Genomic DNA, 16,988 nt, shown 5'->3' with positions numbered 1-16,988 from the left:
CCTCAAGTGGGTCCCTGACCCCCATGCCTCCTGACAGGGAGACACTTATCAGCAGGTGTACACAGACACCTCACACAGGAGAGCTCTGGCTGGCATCTGGCAGGTGCCCCTCTGGGACAAAGCTTCCAGAGGAAGGAATAGGCAGCAATCTGCTGTTCTGTAGCTTCTGCTGGTGATACCCATGCAAACAGTGTCTGGAGTGGACTCCAGCAAAAGCCAAGCAGACCTGCAACAGAGGGGCTTGACTTTTAAAAGGAAAACTAACAAACAGAAAAGAATAGCATCAACATCAACAAAAAGGACGTCCACACAGAAACCCCATCCAAAAGTCACCAACATCAAAGACCAAAGGTAGATAAATCCACAAAGGTGAAGAAAAACCAGCGCAAAAATGCTGAAAATTCCAAAAACCACAACACTTCTTCTCCTTCAAAGGATCACAGCTCCGCATCATCAAGGGAACAAAACTGGACAGAGAATGAGTTTTATGACTTGACAGAAGTAGGCTTCAGAAGGTGAGTAATAACAAACTCCTCTGAGTTAAAGGAGCATGTTCTAACCCAATGCAAGGACTAAGAACCTTGAAAAAAGTTAGAGGAATTGCTAATTAGAATAATCAGTTTAGAGAAGAACATAAATAACCTGATGGAGCTGAAACATACAGCATGAGAACTTCATGAAGCATACGCAAGTATCAATAGCCAAATTGATCAAGTGGAAGAAAGGATATCAAAGATTGAAGATCAACTTAATGAAATAAAGTATTAAGACAAGATTAGAGAAAAAAGAATGAAAAGGAACAAACAAAGTCTGCAAGAAATATGGGACTATGTGAAAAGACCAAACACACGTTTGATTGGAGTACCTGAAAGTGACGAGGAGAATGGAACCAAGTTGGAAAACACTCTTCAGGATATTACCCAGGGAAAATTCCCCAACCTAGCAAGACAGGCCAACATTCAAATTCAGGAAATAGAGAGAACACCACTAAAATAATCCCTGAGAAGAGCAACCCCAAGACATGTAATTGTCAGATTCACCAAGGTTGAAATGAAGGAAAAAATGTTAAGGAGAGCCAGAGACAAAGACCGGCTACCCACAAACAGAAGCCCATCAGACTAACAGTGGGTCTCTCGGCAGAAACCCTACAAGCCAGAAGACAATGGGAGTCAATATTCAACATTCTTAAAGAAAAGAATTTTCAACCCAGAATTTCATATCCAGCCAAGCTAAGCTTCATAACAGAAGAAGAAATAAAATCCTTTACAGACAAGCAAATGATGAGAGATTTTGTCACCACCAGGCCTGCCATACAAGAGCTTCTGAAGGAAGCACTAAATATGGAAAGGAACAATCAGTACCAGCCACTGAAAAAACAAACCAAATTGTAAAGACCATCGACACTATGAAGAAACTGCATCAAATAACAGACAAAATAACCAAGTAGCATCATAATGAGAGGATCAAATCACACATAGCAAAACTAACCTTAAATGTAAATGGGCTAAATGCCCCAATTAAAAGACGTAGACTGGCAAATTGGAAAAAGAGTCAAGACCCATTGGTGTGCTGTATTCGGGAGACCCATCTCACATGCAAAGACACACACAGACTCAAAATAAAAATACGAAGGAAATTTACCAAAACAAATGGACAGCAAAAAAAAAAAAAAAAAAAAAAAAAGCAGGGGTTGCAATCCTAGTCTCTTATAAAACAGATTGTAAACCAACAAAAATAAAAAAAGACAAAGAAGGGCATTACAAAATGATAAAGGGATCAATGCAACAAGAAGAGCTAACTATCCTAAATATATATGCACCCAATACAGGAGTACCAAGATGCATAAAACAAGTTCTTAGACACCTACAAAGAGACTTGGACTCCCACACAATAATCATGGGAGACTTTAACACCCCACTGTCAATATTAGACAGATGAACAAGACAGAAAATTAACAAGGATATTCAGAACTTGAACTCAATTCTGGACCAAGCTGACCTAATAGACATCTACAGAACTCTCCACCCCATATCAACAGAATATACATTCTTCTCAGCACCACATCACACTTATTCTAAAATTGACCACATAATTGGAAGTAAATCACTCCTCAGCAAATGCAAAAGAATGGAAATCATAACAAACAGTCTCTCAGACCACAGTGCAATCAAATTAGAATTCAGGATTAAGAAGCTCACTTAAAACTGCACAACTTCATGGAAACTGAACTACCTGCTCCTGAATGACTACTGGGTAACCAATAAAATTAAGGCAGAAATAAATAAGTTCTATGAAACCAATGAGAATAAAGACACAACATACCAGAATTTCTGGGACATCGCTAAAGCAGTGTTTAGAGGAAAATTTATAGCACTAAATGCCCACAGGAGAAAGCGGGAAAGATCTAAAATCGACACCCTAACATCACAATTAAAAGAACAAGAGAAGCAAGAGCAAACAAATTCAAAACATACTAGAAGACAAGAAATAACTGAGATCAGAGCAGAAATGAAAGAGATAGAGACAGGAAAAACCCTTCAAAAAAAAACAATGAATCCGGCTGGGCACAGTGGCTCATGCCTGTAATCCCAGCACGTTAGGAGGCTGAGAGGCATATGGGTCACAAGGTCAGGAGATCAAGACCATACTGGCTAATGTGGTGAAACACTGTCTGTATTAAAAATACAAAAATTAGCCAGGTGTGGTGGCATGTGCCTGTAGTCCGAGCTACTTGGGAGGTGGAGGTTGCAGTGAGCCGAGATCGCACAACTGCACTCCAGCCTGGGCAACAGATGGAGACTCCATCTCAAAAAAAAAAAAAGGAATCCAGGAGCTGGTTTTTTGAAAAAATCAACAAAATAGATAGACCTCTAGTCACACTAATAAAGAAGAAAACGGAGAAGAATCAAATGGACACAATAAAAGATGATAAAGGAGGTATCACCACTGATCCCACAGAAATACAAACTACCATCAGAGAAGACTATAAACACCGCTATATAAATAAACTAGAAAATCCAGAAGAAATGGATAAATTCCTGGTCACATACACCCTCCCAAGTATAAACCAGGAAGAAGTTGAATCCCTGAATAGACCAGTAGCAAGTTCTGAAATTGAGGCAATAATTAATAGCCAACCAATAAAAAAAAAAAAAAAGCCCAGGGACAGGTGGATTCAGAGCCAAATTCTCCCAGAGATATAAAAGGGACCTGGTATCATTTTTTCTGAAACTATTCCAAACAGTAGAAAAAGAGGAACTCCTCCCTAACTCATTTTATGAGGCCAGCATCATCCTGATACCAAAACCTGGCAAAGACATAGTAAAAAAAGAAACTCAGGGCAATATCCCTGATTAACATCAATGCGAAAATACTCAGTAAAATACTGGGAAACGCATCCAGCAGTACATCAAAAAGCTTATCCGCCATGATCAAGTTGGCATCATCCCTGGGATGCAAGGCTGGTTCAACATATGAAAATCAATAAAAATAATCCACCACATAAACAGAACCAATGACAAAAATCACATGATTATCTCAATAGATACAGAAAAGGCCTTCAATAAAATTCAAAACCCCTTCATGATAAAAACTCTCAATAAACTAGGTATCAATGGAACATATCTCAAAATAATAAGAGCTATTTATGACAAACCCACAGCCAATATCATACTGAATGGGCAAAAGCTGAAAGCATTCCCTTTGAAAACCGGCACAGACAAGAATGCCCTCTCTCACTACTCCTATTCAACATAGTGTTGGATGTTCTGGCTAGGGCAATCAGGCGAGAGAAATAAATAAAGGGTATTCAAATAGGATGAGAGGAAGTCAAATTGTCTCTGCTTGCAGATGACATGATTGTATGTTTAGAAAACCCCATCATCTCAGCCCAAAATCTCCTTAAGCTGATAAGCAACTTCAGCAAAGTCTCAGGATACAAAATCAATGTGCAAAAATCACAAGCATTCCCATATGCCAATAATAAACAAGCAGAGAGCCAAATCATGAGTGAACTCCCATTCACAATTGCTACAAAGAGAATAAAATACCTAGGAATCCAACTTACAAGGGATGCGAAGGACCTCTTCAAGGAGAACTACAAACCACTGCACAAGGAAATAACAGAGGACACAAACAAATGGAAAAACAGTCCATGCTCCTGGATAGGAAGAATCAATATTGTGAAAATGGCCATACTGCCTAAAGTAATGCATAGATTCAATGCTATCCCACACCAAGCTACCATTGTCAGTCTTCACAGAATTAGAAAAAACTACTTTAAATTTCATATAGAACCAAAAAACAGCCTGTATAGCCAAGACAATCCTAAGCAAGAAGAACAAAGCTGGAGGCATCATGCTACCTGACTTCAAACTATACTACAAGGCTACAGTAACCAAAATAGCATGGTACTGGTACCAAAACAGACATATAGACCAATGGAACAGAACAGAGGCCTCAGAAATAATGCCACACATCTATAACCATCCTGATCTTTGACAAACCTGACAAAAACAAGCAATGGGGAAATGATTCCCTATTTAATAAGTAATGTTGGAAAAACTGGCTAGCCGTATGCAGAAAACTGAAACTGGACCCCTTCCTTACTTCTTATACAAAATTTAACTCAAGCTGGATTAAAGACTTAAACGTAAGACCTAAAACCATAAATCCCTAGAAGAAAACCTAGGCAATACCATTCGGGACATAGGCATGGGCAAAGACTTTAAAACACCAAAAGCAATGGCAACAAAAGCCAAAATTGACAAATGGAACCTAATTAAAATAAAGAGCTTCTGCACAGCAAAAGAAACTACCATCAGAATGAACAGGCAACCTACAGAATGGGAGAAAATTTTTGCAATCTACCCATCTTACAAAGGGCTAATATCCAGAATCTACAAGAAACTTAAACCAATTTACAAGAAAAAAAACAAACAACCACATCAAAAAGTGGGCAAAGGATATGAACAGACACTTCTCAAAAGAAGACATTTATGCAGTCAATAAACATGAAGAAAAAGCTCATCATCACTGATCATAAGAGAAATGCAAATTAAAACCACAATGAGATAACATCTCACTTTGGTTAGAATGGTGATCATTAAAAAGTCAAGAAACAACAGATGCTGGAGAAGATGTGGAGAAATAGGAATGCTTTTACACTGTTGGCAGAAGTGTAAATTAGTTCACCCATTGTGGAAGACAGTGTGGTGATTCCTCAAGGATCTAGAACCAGAAATACTATTTGATCCAGCAATCCCATTACTGGGTATATACCCAAAGGAATATAAATCATTCTACTATAAAGACACATGCACCAGCATGTTTATTGCAGCACTATTTACAATAGCAAAGACTTGGAACCAACTCAAATGCCCATCAATGATAGACTGGATAAATAAAATGTGGCATATATAAACCATGGAATACTATGCAACCATAAAAAAGGATGAGGTCATGTCCTTTGCAGGGATGTGGATGAAGCTGGAAACCATCATCCTCAGCAAACTAACACAGGAACAGAAAACCAAACACTGCATGTTCTCACTCATAAGTGAGAGTTGAACAATGAGAACACATAAACACAGGGAGGGGAACATCGCACACTGGGGCCTGTCAGAGGATGGAGAACTAGGGGAGAGATAGCATTAAGAGAAATGCCTAATGTAGATGACGGGTTGATGAGTGCAGCAAACCACCATGGCACGTGGATACCTATGTAACAAACCTGCATGTTCTGCACTTGTATCCCAGAACTTAGCGTATAGTTAAAAAGAAAAGAAAAAGAAAAAAAATGCTAAAGGGAGTCCTTCAGGCTGAAATGAAATGACACTACATAGTAACTTGAGCTGTAGGGAGAAATAAATATCAATGGTAAATATAATTGTATAGGCATATATAGAAGTTAGTATTTTATATTGTTTGTTTACAACTATATCTTTGCTTCCTATGTGATTTAAAACAAAAATGAATACAAATAATTATAAATCTATGTTAATTGTTACCCATGTATAAAGATGTAATTTGTGACAATAACAACCTGAGAGGGGGACAGAACTGGATATGATAAAAGCAGAGTTAATGTATACTATTCAAGCTCAGTTGGTACCAATTCAAACTAGACTGTTATAAACTTAGGATGTTAACTATAATGACCATAGTAACCACTAATAATATAACTCAATGAAACTATATGAAAAGGAAGTAAATAGAGAATGAAAATGGTAAACTAAGAAAAAATTCAAATAAAAAAGAAGGCAGTAACAGAGAAATTGAGGAATAAAAAAGATTTTAAAAATAGCAAAATGGCAGAAATAAGTTCCCATTTGTCAGTAATCACTTTGAATGTCAATCTATTAAACTCACCAATTAAATGACAGATTGGCAAAATGGATTTTTAAATGATCCAATTATATACTGTTTACAAGAGATTCAGTTTAGACCTAAAGACACAAATAGGTTGAAAGTGAAATAATGAAAAAGATATTCCATGCAATTAGTAACCAATAGACAGCTAGAGTGTCTATACTAATAGCAGAAAAAATAAATTTTAAGAAAAAGTTAAAAGAGACAAAGAAGGACATTGTACGTTGATTTTTAAAAGGTCTTATCAATAAGATATAACAATTATAAATATACATGCATCAAATAACATAACCCCAAAATATGTGAAGAAAACATTGACAGAATTAGAGAGACAGTTCTACAATATTTAGAAACTTCAATACCTCACTTTTAATTATCAATAGACTATCTAGACAGATGATAAATGATGAAAGAATAGCACTATAAAGCAATTAAACTTAATCTACATACATGGAACAGTCTACCCAATAACAGCAAAATGGATATGCTTTTCAAATCCTCATGGAATATTTTTTAGATTGACACTCTGTGAGGTTATAAAAAAACTGTCAATAAATGTTAAAATATTAAACTATACAAAAAGTGTTTTCTGACCATGATGGAATGAAGACAAAAGTCAACAACAGAAGGAAGCTGAAAAATATAGAAATATATGGAAATTAAACAGTATGCTCTTAAATAATCAGTAGATCAAAGAAAAAATTACTAGAGAAATTATACTTTGAAATAAATGAAAAAAAAAAAAAAACAACCACAGTATACCAAATCTTAGGGATGTTGCTAAAACAATGATTAGAAGAAAATATGTAGCTGTAAATGCCTATTTTATTAAGAAAACAAGATTATAAATCAGCCAAGCATTACATCTAAGGAGCTAGAAAAAGAACAGCAAACTAAATCCAAAGCTAGCAGAAGGAAGGACGTAATAAAAATTAGAGCAGAGATGAACAAAAAAGAGAATAGAATAATAAGAACTCTAAAGTCACTAAAAATAAACAAAGTATTAACTCTTTATGACCACAGATTTGGCAATGAATTCTTAGATTTGACATCAAGAGCATGAGCAATGAAGAAAAAGAGATAGACTCCATAAAAATTAAATTTTTGCACATCAAAAGATATTAACACAAAAATAAAATGAAAAGACAATCTATAGAGTGGAAAAAATATTTGCAAGTCATATATCAGATTAAGAGTTTAGTATTCAGAATATATAAAAATATGTATAAAGAACTCTTACAACTCAACAACAAAAAGACAAACTATCCAATTTTAAAATGGGCAAAGGATTTTGAAAAGACTTTTCTCCAAAGATGTACAAATGGCTAATACATGAAAAGTCATTCAACATCATTGATCATTAAGGAAATGTAAATCAAAACCACAATAAAATCACATGCACTTTTTGAAAAATGATGCTTCCATTGCTTTCCTCTGAAGAATACTTTCAGAGCTCATTTTATGTCTTTATTACTTGACTTTAAGATGAAAACGTTTAGTAAGGGTTTAACCACAGTGTGCCTCACTGAGGCAGTTGCATTAGAGCATGAGTTGTGGGTAGCAGCAAAACTAAGGTACAATCCTGTGCTCCTACAATAAAATAAGGACATATTTGAGAGGTGAGACACGCAGGTGGGAAATGCTTTATGCTTCCCCTGAGCTGATGGGATTGCACATATGGATGAAATGATCTTAGAGAAAGAGTAAAAAAATACCAGCAATGGGACCACCACTCAGCAGCATAGTTGTACAATACCTCACTATGTCTTTGAGAAAGGTGTCAGAACAGGCAAGGTGGACCACCTAATTAAGTTCACAGAAAAAGTTTGGGATTTCCAAGTCAGTACAAAACAAGCTTTGTATCTGTATGTAACAAGTTTTGTCCTCTGAGTAAAGGATTTGGCATAAGGTCTATATAATTTCATGTATCATCTTGCTGTTTCTTCTTAAAATTTTCCAGTGTTACCTAAAAATCTGACTCCTTCCATTGTCCCAACTAATATTTTCCTCTTTAAAAATTATGTCATAAGCATTAAAGTATAGTAAATGAAAAAAAGAAAAAACATGATGAGATACCACTTCACACACACTAGGATTATTACTTTTTTTTTTTTTTTTGAAATGGAGTCTCGCTCTGTCACCCAGGCCGGAGTGCAGTGGTGTGATCCTGGCTCATTGCAACCTCCACCTCCCAGGTTCAAGTGATTCTCCTGCCTCAGCCTCCCGAGTAGCTGGGACTACAGGTGGGTGCCGCCATGCCCAGCTAAGTTTTTGTATTTTTAGTAGAGATGGGTTTTCACCATGTTAGCCAGGATGGTCTTGATCTCCTGACCTCGTGACCTGCCCGCCCTGGCCTCTCAAAGTGCCGGGATTACAGGCGTGAGCCACTGCGCCTAGCCAGGATGATTATTAAAAGAAAACAAAATAAGAAGTGTTGAGGATGTGGAGAAAAAAGAATACTTATCCATCATTGGTGGCAATATAAAATGGTGCAGCTGCTGTGGAAAACACTTTGGCAGTTACTCAGAAAAGTTAAACACAGAATTACCTTATGACCCAGAAACCTCACTTCTAGGTTTATACTTCAAACATTTGAAAGCAAGACTTGAAGATGGCTGAATAACAGCCCCGTCTGGCAGCTTCCAGCGAGACCAACACAGAAGATGGGTGATTTCTGCATTTCCAACTGAGAGGACAGATTAGGTAGTGGGTGCAGCCCATGGAGGGCTAGCAGAAGCAGGGTGGGGCATCGCCTCACCCAGGAAGTGCAAGGAGTTGGGGGCCTCCCTTCCGCAGCCGAGTGAGGGACTGTGCTATCCAGCGCAGGTACTATGCTTTTCCCATGATTTTTGCAATTCACAGACCAGGAGATTCCCTGTGTGCATACACCAAAAGGGCCCTGGGTTTCAGGCACAAAACTTGGTGGCTGTTCGAGCAGACACTGTGCTAGCTGCAGGAGTTTGTTTGTTTGTTTGTTTGTTTGTTTGTTTGTTTGTTTTCATACCCCAGTGGCACCTGGAACCCCAGCAAGACAGAACCATTCACTCCCCTGGAAAGGGGGCTGAAACCAGGAAGCCAAGTGGTCTCGCTAAGTGGGTCCCATTACCATGGAGCCCAGCGAGCTAAACACCACTGGCTTGAAATCTTCACTGCCAGCACAGCAGTCTGAAGTCAACCTGAGAGGATCCAACCTGGTAGTGGGAGGGGCATCACCATTACTGAGGTTTGAGTAAGCAGTTTTCCCCTGCCATTACCAAGGACTAGGCAGAACTCAATGCAGCATGGCAAAGCAGCTGTGGTCAGACGGCCTCTCTAAATTCCTCTTCACTGGTCAGGGCATCCCTGAAAGAAAGGCAGCAGCCCCAGTCAGGGTCTTATAGATAAAACTCCCATCTCACTGCTTAAGAGCACCTGGGGGAAGGGGCAGATGTGGATATAGCTTCAGCAGAATTAAATATTCCTGCCTGCTGGCTCTGAAGAGAGCAACAGATCCTGAGAAGGAGGGTTCTCCAAGCACAGGGCTCGAGCTCTGCTAAAGGACAGACTGCCTCCTCAAGTTGGTCCCTGACTCCTGTGCCTCCTAACTGGCAGAGACTTCCCAACAGGGATTGACAGACACGTCATACAGGAGAGCTCTGGTTGACATCAGGCCAGTGCCCCTCTGGGACAAAGCTTCCAGAGGAAGGAGCAGGCAACAGCAATCTTTGCTGCTATGCAGCCTCTGCTGGTGATACCCAGACAAATAGGGTCTGGAGCAGTCCTGCAGAAGAGGGGCCTGACTGTAAGAAGAAAAACTAACAAACAGAAAGCAATAACATCAACATCAACAAAAAGAACCCCCACACAGAAACACCATCCAAAGGTCACCAACTTCAAAGATCAAAGATAGATAAATCCATGAAGATGAGGAAAAACCAGTGCAAAACGGCTGAAAATTCCAAAAACCAGAATGCCTCTTCTCCTCCAAATGATCGAAACTCTTCTCCAACAAGGGCACAAAACTGGACAGAGAATTAGTTTGACAAAATGAAAGAAGTAGGCTTCAGAAGGTGGGTAATAACAAACTCCTGCGAGCTAAAGGAGCATGTTATAACAGAATGCAAGGAAGCTGAGATCTTTGAAAAAAGGTTACAGGAACTGCTAACTAGAATAACCAGTTTAGAGAAGAACATAAATGACCTGATGGAGCTGAAAAATACAGCACGAGAACTTCGTGAAGCATACACAAGAATCAATAGCCAAATCGATCAAATGGAAGAAAGGATATCAGAGATTGAAGATCAAGTTACTGAAATGAGGCATGAAGACAAAATTAGAGATAAAAGAATGAAAAGGAATGAATAAAGCCTGCAAGAAATATGGGACTATGTGAAAAGACCAAACCTACAATTGATTGGGGTCCCTGAAAGTGACAGGGAGTATGGAACCAAGTTGGAAAACACTCTTCTGGATATTATCCAGGAGAACTTCCCCAACGTAGCAAGACAGGCAAACATTCAAATTCAGGAAATAGGGAGAACACCACTAAGATACTCTTTGAGAAGAGCAACCCCAAGACACATAATCATCAGATTCTCCAAGGTTGAAATGAAGGGGAAAATATTAAGGGCAGCCAGAGAGAAAGGTCAAGTTACCTACAAAGGGAAGCCCATCAGAATAGGAGCGGATCTCTCAGCAGAAACCCTACAAGCAAGAAGACAGTGGTAGCCAATATTCAATATTCTTAAAGAAAAGAATTTTTAACCCAGAATCTCATATCCAGCCACACTAAGCTTCATATGTGAAGGAGAAATAAAATCCTTTACATACAAAGCAAATGCGGAGGGATTTTATTACCACTAGGCCTGCCTTACAAGAGCCCCTGAAAGAAGCACTAAATATGGAAAAGAACAATTGGTACCAGGCACTGAAAAAACATGCCAAAATAAAAAGACCAATGACACTATGAAGAAACTGCATCAACTAATAAACAGCCAGCTAGCATTATGATGACAGGATCAAATTCACACATAACAACACTAACCTTAAATGTAAATGGTCTAAATGCCCCAATTAAAAGATGCAGACTGGCAAATTGGATAAAGAGTCAAGACTCATCAGTGAGCTGTATTCAGGAGACCCATCTCATGTGCAAAGACACACATAGGCTCATAATAAAGGGATGGAGGAATATTTACCAAGCAAATGGAAAGCCAAAAAAAAAAAAAAAACAGGACTTGCAATCCTAGTCTCTGATAAAACAGACTTTAAACCAACAAAGATAAAAAAAGACAAAGAAGCGCATTACATAATGGTAAAGGAATCAATGCAACAAGAAGAGCTAACTATCCTAAATATATATGCACCCAATACAGGAGCACCTTGATTCATAAAGCAAGTTCTTAGAGACCTACAAAGAGAGACTCCCATACAATAATAATGGAAGACTTTAATACCCCACTGTCAATATTAGACAGATCAACGAGACAGAAAATCAACAAGGATATTCAGAACTTGAACTCAGCTCTGGATCAAGCTGACCTAATAGACATCTACAGAACTCTCCACCCCAAATCAACAGAATATACATTCTTCTCAGCACCACATCGCACTTATTCTAAAATTGACCACATAATTGGAAGTAAAACACTCCTCAGCAAATGGAAAATAAAGGAAATATAACAGTCTCTTGGACCACAGTGCAGTCAAATTAGAACTTAGGATTAAGAAATTCATTCAATACCACACAACTACACGGAAACTGAACAACCTGTTCCTGAATGATTACTGGATAAATAATGCAAAAAGACAGAAATAAATAAGTTATTTAAAACCAATAAGATCAACTTACTGGTTGATGCACCAGAGTCTCTGGGACACAGTTAAAGCAGTGTTTAGAGGGAAATTTATAGCACAAAATGCCCAAAGGAGAAAGTAGGAAAGATCTAAAATCCACACCCTAACATCGCAATTAAAAAAACTAGAGAAGCAGAAGCAAACAAATTCAAAAGCTAGCAGAAGACAAGAAATAACTAAGATCAGAGCAGAACTGAAAGAGATAGAGACACAAAAAACCCTTCAAAAAATCAATGAATCCAAGAGCTGGTTTTTTGAAAATATCAACAAAATATATAAACCACTACCCAGACTAATAAAGAAGGAAAGAGAGCAGAATCAAATAGACGCAATAAAAAATGATAAAGGTGATATCAACACCGATGCCACAGAAATACAAACTACCATCAGAGAATACTATAAACACCTCTATGCAAATAAACTAGAAAATCTAGAAGAAATAGATAAATTCCTGAACACAAACACCCTCCCAAGACTAAACTAGGAAGAAGTTGAATCCTTGAAAAGACCAATAACAAGTTCTGAAATTGAGGCAGTAATTAATAGCCTACCAACCAAAAAAAGTCCAGGACCAGATGGATTCACAGCCAAGTTCTACCAGAGGTACAAGGAGGAGCTGGTACCATTCCTTCTGAAACTATTCTAAACAACAGAAAAAGAGGGAATCCTCTATAACTCATTTTACGAGGCCAGCATCATCCTGATTCCAAAACCTGGCAGAGACACAATAAAAAAAGAAAATTTCAGGGCAATATCGCTGAGGAACATTGACGTGAAAATCCTCAGTAAAATACTGGCAAACTGAATCCAGCAGCACATCAAAAAGCTTAACCACCATGATCAAGTCAGCTTCATTCCTGGGATGCAAGGCTGGTTCAACATATACAAATCAATAAACGTAATCCATCACATAAGCAGAACCAATGACAAAACCCACATGATTATCTCAATACATGCAGAAAAGGCCTTTGATAAAATTCAACACACTTTCAAGCTAAAAACTTAATAAACTAAGTACTGATGGAACATATTTCAAAATAACAAGAGCTATTTATTTCAAAACCATAGCCAATATCATACTGAATGGGCAAAAGCTGGAAGCATTCCCTTTGAAAACTGGAACGAGACAAAGGTGCCCTCTCTCACCACTCCTATTCAACATAGCATTGGAAGTTCTGGACAGAGCAATTGGGCAAGAGAAAGAAATAAAAGGCATTCAAATAGAATGAGAGGAAGTCAAATTGTCTCTGTTTGCAGACGACATGAATGTATATTTAGAAAACCCCATCGTCTCAGCCCACAAACTTCTTAAGCTGACAAGCAACTTCAGCAAACTCTCAGGATAAAAAATCAATGTGCAAAAATCACAAGCATTCTTATACACCAATAATAGACAAGCAGAGAGCCAAATCATGAGTGAACTCCCATTCACAATTGTTACAAAGAAATAAAATACCTAGGAATACAACTTACAAGGGAAATGAAGGACCTCTTCAAGGACAACTACAAACTACTGCTCAAGGAAATCAGAGAGGACACAAACAAATAGAAAAACATTCCATGCTCATGGAAGGGAAGAATCAATATCACGAAAATGGCAATACTACCCAAAGTAATTTATAGATTCAATGCCATTCCCATCAAGGTATTGTTGACTTTCTTCACAGAATTAGAAAAAAACTACTTTAAATTTCATATGGAACCAAAAAAGAGCCTGCATAGCCAAGACAATCCTAAGCAAAAAGAACAAAGCTGGAGGCATCACACTACCTGACTTCAAACTGTACTGCAAGGCTACAGTAATGAAAACAGCATGGTACTGGTACCAAAACAGATATATAGACCAATGGAACAGAACAGAGCCCTCAGAAATAACGCCACGCAACTACAATCACCTGATTTTCAACAAACCTGACAAAAACAAGCAATAAGGAAATAATTCCCTATTTAATAAATGGTGCTGGGAAAACTGGCTAGCCATATGCAGAAAACTGACCCTTCCTTACACCTTATTCAAAAATTAACTCAAGATGGATTAAAGACTTAAACATAAAACCTAAAACTTTAGAAACCCCAGGAGAAAACCTAGGCAATACCACTCAGGACATAGGCATGGGCAAAGCCTTCATGACTGAAACACCAAAAGCAATGGCAATAAAAGCCAAAGCAGACAAATGGGATCAAATTAAACTAAAGAGCTTCTGCACAGCAAATGAAACTATCATCAGAGTGAACAGGCAACCTGTTCAGAATGGGAGAAAATTTTTGCAATCTGCCCATCTGACAAAGGGCTAATATCGAGAATCTACAAGGAACTTAAACAAATTTACAAGAAAAAAATGAACAACTCCATCAAAAAGTGGGTGAAGGACCTGAACAGATACTTCTCAAAAGAAGACATTTATACACTCCACTTCCAAGAGGGGCAAATAGGAACAGCTCCGGTGTGCAGTTCCCAGCAAGATCGACAGAGAAGTTGGTTATTTCTACATTTCCAACTGAGGTACCTGGTTCATCCTGGGACTGGACAGTGGGTGCAGCCCATGGAGGGTGAGCTGAAGCAGGGCAGGTGTCGCCTCACCTGGGAAGCACAAGGGGTTAGGGGATTTCCCTTTCCTAGCCAAGGGCTGCTGTGACAGACTGTAACTGGAGAAACGGTACACTTCTGACAAAATACTGCACTATTCCCACAGTCTTAGCAACTGGCAGACCAGGAGATATTCTCCTGTGCCTAGCTTGGCAGGTCCCACTCCCACGGAGCCTTGCTCACTGCTAGTGCAGCAGTCTGAGATTGACCTGCCTTGCTGCAGCTGGATGGGGGGAGGGGTGTCCACCATTGCTGAGGCTTGAGTAGCTCACAATGTAAACAAAGAGGCCTGGAAGCAGGAACTGGGTGGAGCCCACCGCAGCTCAGCAAGGCCTACTGCCTCTATAGATTCCACTTCTGGGGGCAGGGCATAGTAGAACAAAAGGCAACAGAAAGCTTCTGCAGACTTAAACATCCCTGTCTGACAGCTCTGAAGAGAGCAGTGGTTCTCTCAGCATGGCGTTCGAGCTCCGAGAATGGACAGACTGCCTCCTCAAGCAGGTCCCTGACCCCTGTGTAGCCTGACTGGGAAACACCTCCCAGTAGGGGTCAACAGACACTCAAACAGGTAGGTGCCCATCTGTGACGAAGCTTCCAGAGGAAGGATCAGGCAGCAATATTTGCTGTTCTGCAGCCTCCACTGGTGATACCCAGGCAGACAGGGTCTGGAGTGGACCTCCAGCAAACTCCAACAGACCTGCAGCTGAGGGGTCTGACTGTTAGAAGGAAAACTAACAAACAGAAAAAAAATAGCATCAACATCAAAAAAAAGGACATCCACACCAAAACCCCATCTGTAGGTCACCAACGTCAAAGACCAAAGGTAGATAAAACCACAAAGATGGGTAGAAACCAGAGCAGAAAAGCTGAAAATTCCAGAAAGCACAGCAACTCTTCCCCTCCAAAGGATCACAGCTTCTTGCCAGCAACAGAACAAAACTGGATGGAGAATGAATTTGTTGAGTTTTCAGAAGTAGGCTTCAGAAGGTCGATAGTAACAAACTTCTCCGAGCTAAAGGAGCATGTTGTAACCTATCACAAGGAAGCTAAAAACCTTGAAAAAAGGTTAGACAAATGGCTAACTAGAATAAACAGTGTAGAGAAGACCATAAATGACCTGATGGAGTAGAAAACCATGGCACAAGAACCTCGTGATGGATGCACAAGCTTCAATAGCTGATTTGATCAAGTGGAAGAAAGGATATCAGTGACTGAAGATCAAATTAATGAAATAAAGCAAGAAGACAAGATTAGAGAAAAAAGAGTGAAAAAAAAACCAAACATAGCCTCCAAGAAATATGGGACTATGTGAAAAGACCAACTCTACATTTGATTGGTGTAATGGAAAGTGATGAGGATAGTGGAACCAAGTTAGACAACACTCTTCAGGATATTATCCAGGAGAACTTCCCTAATCTAGCAAGGCAGGCCAACCTTCAAATTCAGGAAATACATAGAACACCACAAAGATACTCCTCAAGAAGAGCAGCCCCAAGACACGTAATTGGCAGATTCACCAACATTGAAATGAAGGAAAAAATGTTAAGGGAAGCCAGAGAGAAAGGTCAGGTTACCCACAAAGGGAAGCCCATCAGACTAACAGCAGATCTCTTGGCAAAAACTCTACAAGTCAGAAAAGAGTGGGGGCCAATATTAAACATTCTTAAAGAAAAGAATTTTCAACCCAGAATCTCATATCCAGCCAAACTGAGCTTCATAAATGAAGGCAAAATAAAATCCTTTACAAACAAGCAAATGCTGAGAGATTTTGTCACCACCAGGCCTGGCTTACAAGAAATCCTGAAGGAAGCGCTAAACATGGAAAGGAACAACTGGTACTAGCCACTGAAAAAAAAATGTCAAATTGTAAAGACCAGCAACGCTATGAAGGAACTGCATCAATTAACAGGCAAAATGACCAGCTAACGTGATAATGACAGGATCAAATTCAAACATAACAATATTAATCTTAAATGTAAATGGGCTAAATTCCCCAATTAAAAGACACAGATTGGCAAATTGGAAAAAGAGTCAAGACCCATGAGTATGCTGTATTCAGGAGACCCATCTCACATGCAGAGACGCACATGGGCTCAAAATAAAGGGATGGAGGAAGATCTACCAAGCAAATGGAAAGCAAAAAAAAAAAGAAAGAAAGAAAAGCAGGGGTTGCAATGATAGTCTCTCATAAAACAGA

General features: G+C 39.0%; 1 long non-coding RNA gene and 1 pseudogene across 5 annotated transcripts in view, besides 2 other annotated features; both read right to left on the bottom strand.

The window, feature by feature from the left end:
- SLC38A4-AS1 (SLC38A4 antisense RNA 1) overlaps positions 1 to 16,988 on the bottom strand; it is a 268,904-nt gene that overhangs the window by 51,502 nt on the left and 200,414 nt on the right. The gene's annotated exons all lie outside the window — the stretch shown is intronic.
- OR7A19P (olfactory receptor family 7 subfamily A member 19 pseudogene) lies at positions 7,772 to 8,504 on the bottom strand (annotated as a pseudogene).
- Positions 14,304 to 15,058: an enhancer, noted in NCBI's record as "NANOG-H3K27ac hESC enhancer chr12:46979803-46980557 (GRCh37/hg19 assembly coordinates)". NCBI's record gives its function as "activates a minimal SCP1, AML or CMV promoter by ChIP-STARR-seq in primed H9 embryonic stem cells {active_cell/tissue: H9 hESC(primed)}" and the evidence as "EXISTENCE:reporter gene assay evidence [ECO:0000049][PMID:30033119]".
- Positions 15,059 to 15,813: an enhancer, noted in NCBI's record as "NANOG-H3K27ac hESC enhancer chr12:46979048-46979802 (GRCh37/hg19 assembly coordinates)". NCBI's record gives its function as "activates a minimal SCP1, AML or CMV promoter by ChIP-STARR-seq in primed H9 embryonic stem cells {active_cell/tissue: H9 hESC(primed)}" and the evidence as "EXISTENCE:reporter gene assay evidence [ECO:0000049][PMID:30033119]".

Source organism: Homo sapiens, chromosome 12 (assembly GCF_000001405.40).
Source record: "Homo sapiens chromosome 12, GRCh38.p14 Primary Assembly".
Taxonomy (NCBI): Eukaryota; Metazoa; Chordata; class Mammalia; order Primates; family Hominidae; genus Homo; species Homo sapiens.
The sequence above is the reverse complement of the archived record's forward strand: the minus strand, read 5'-3'. Positions and strand labels throughout refer to the sequence as shown.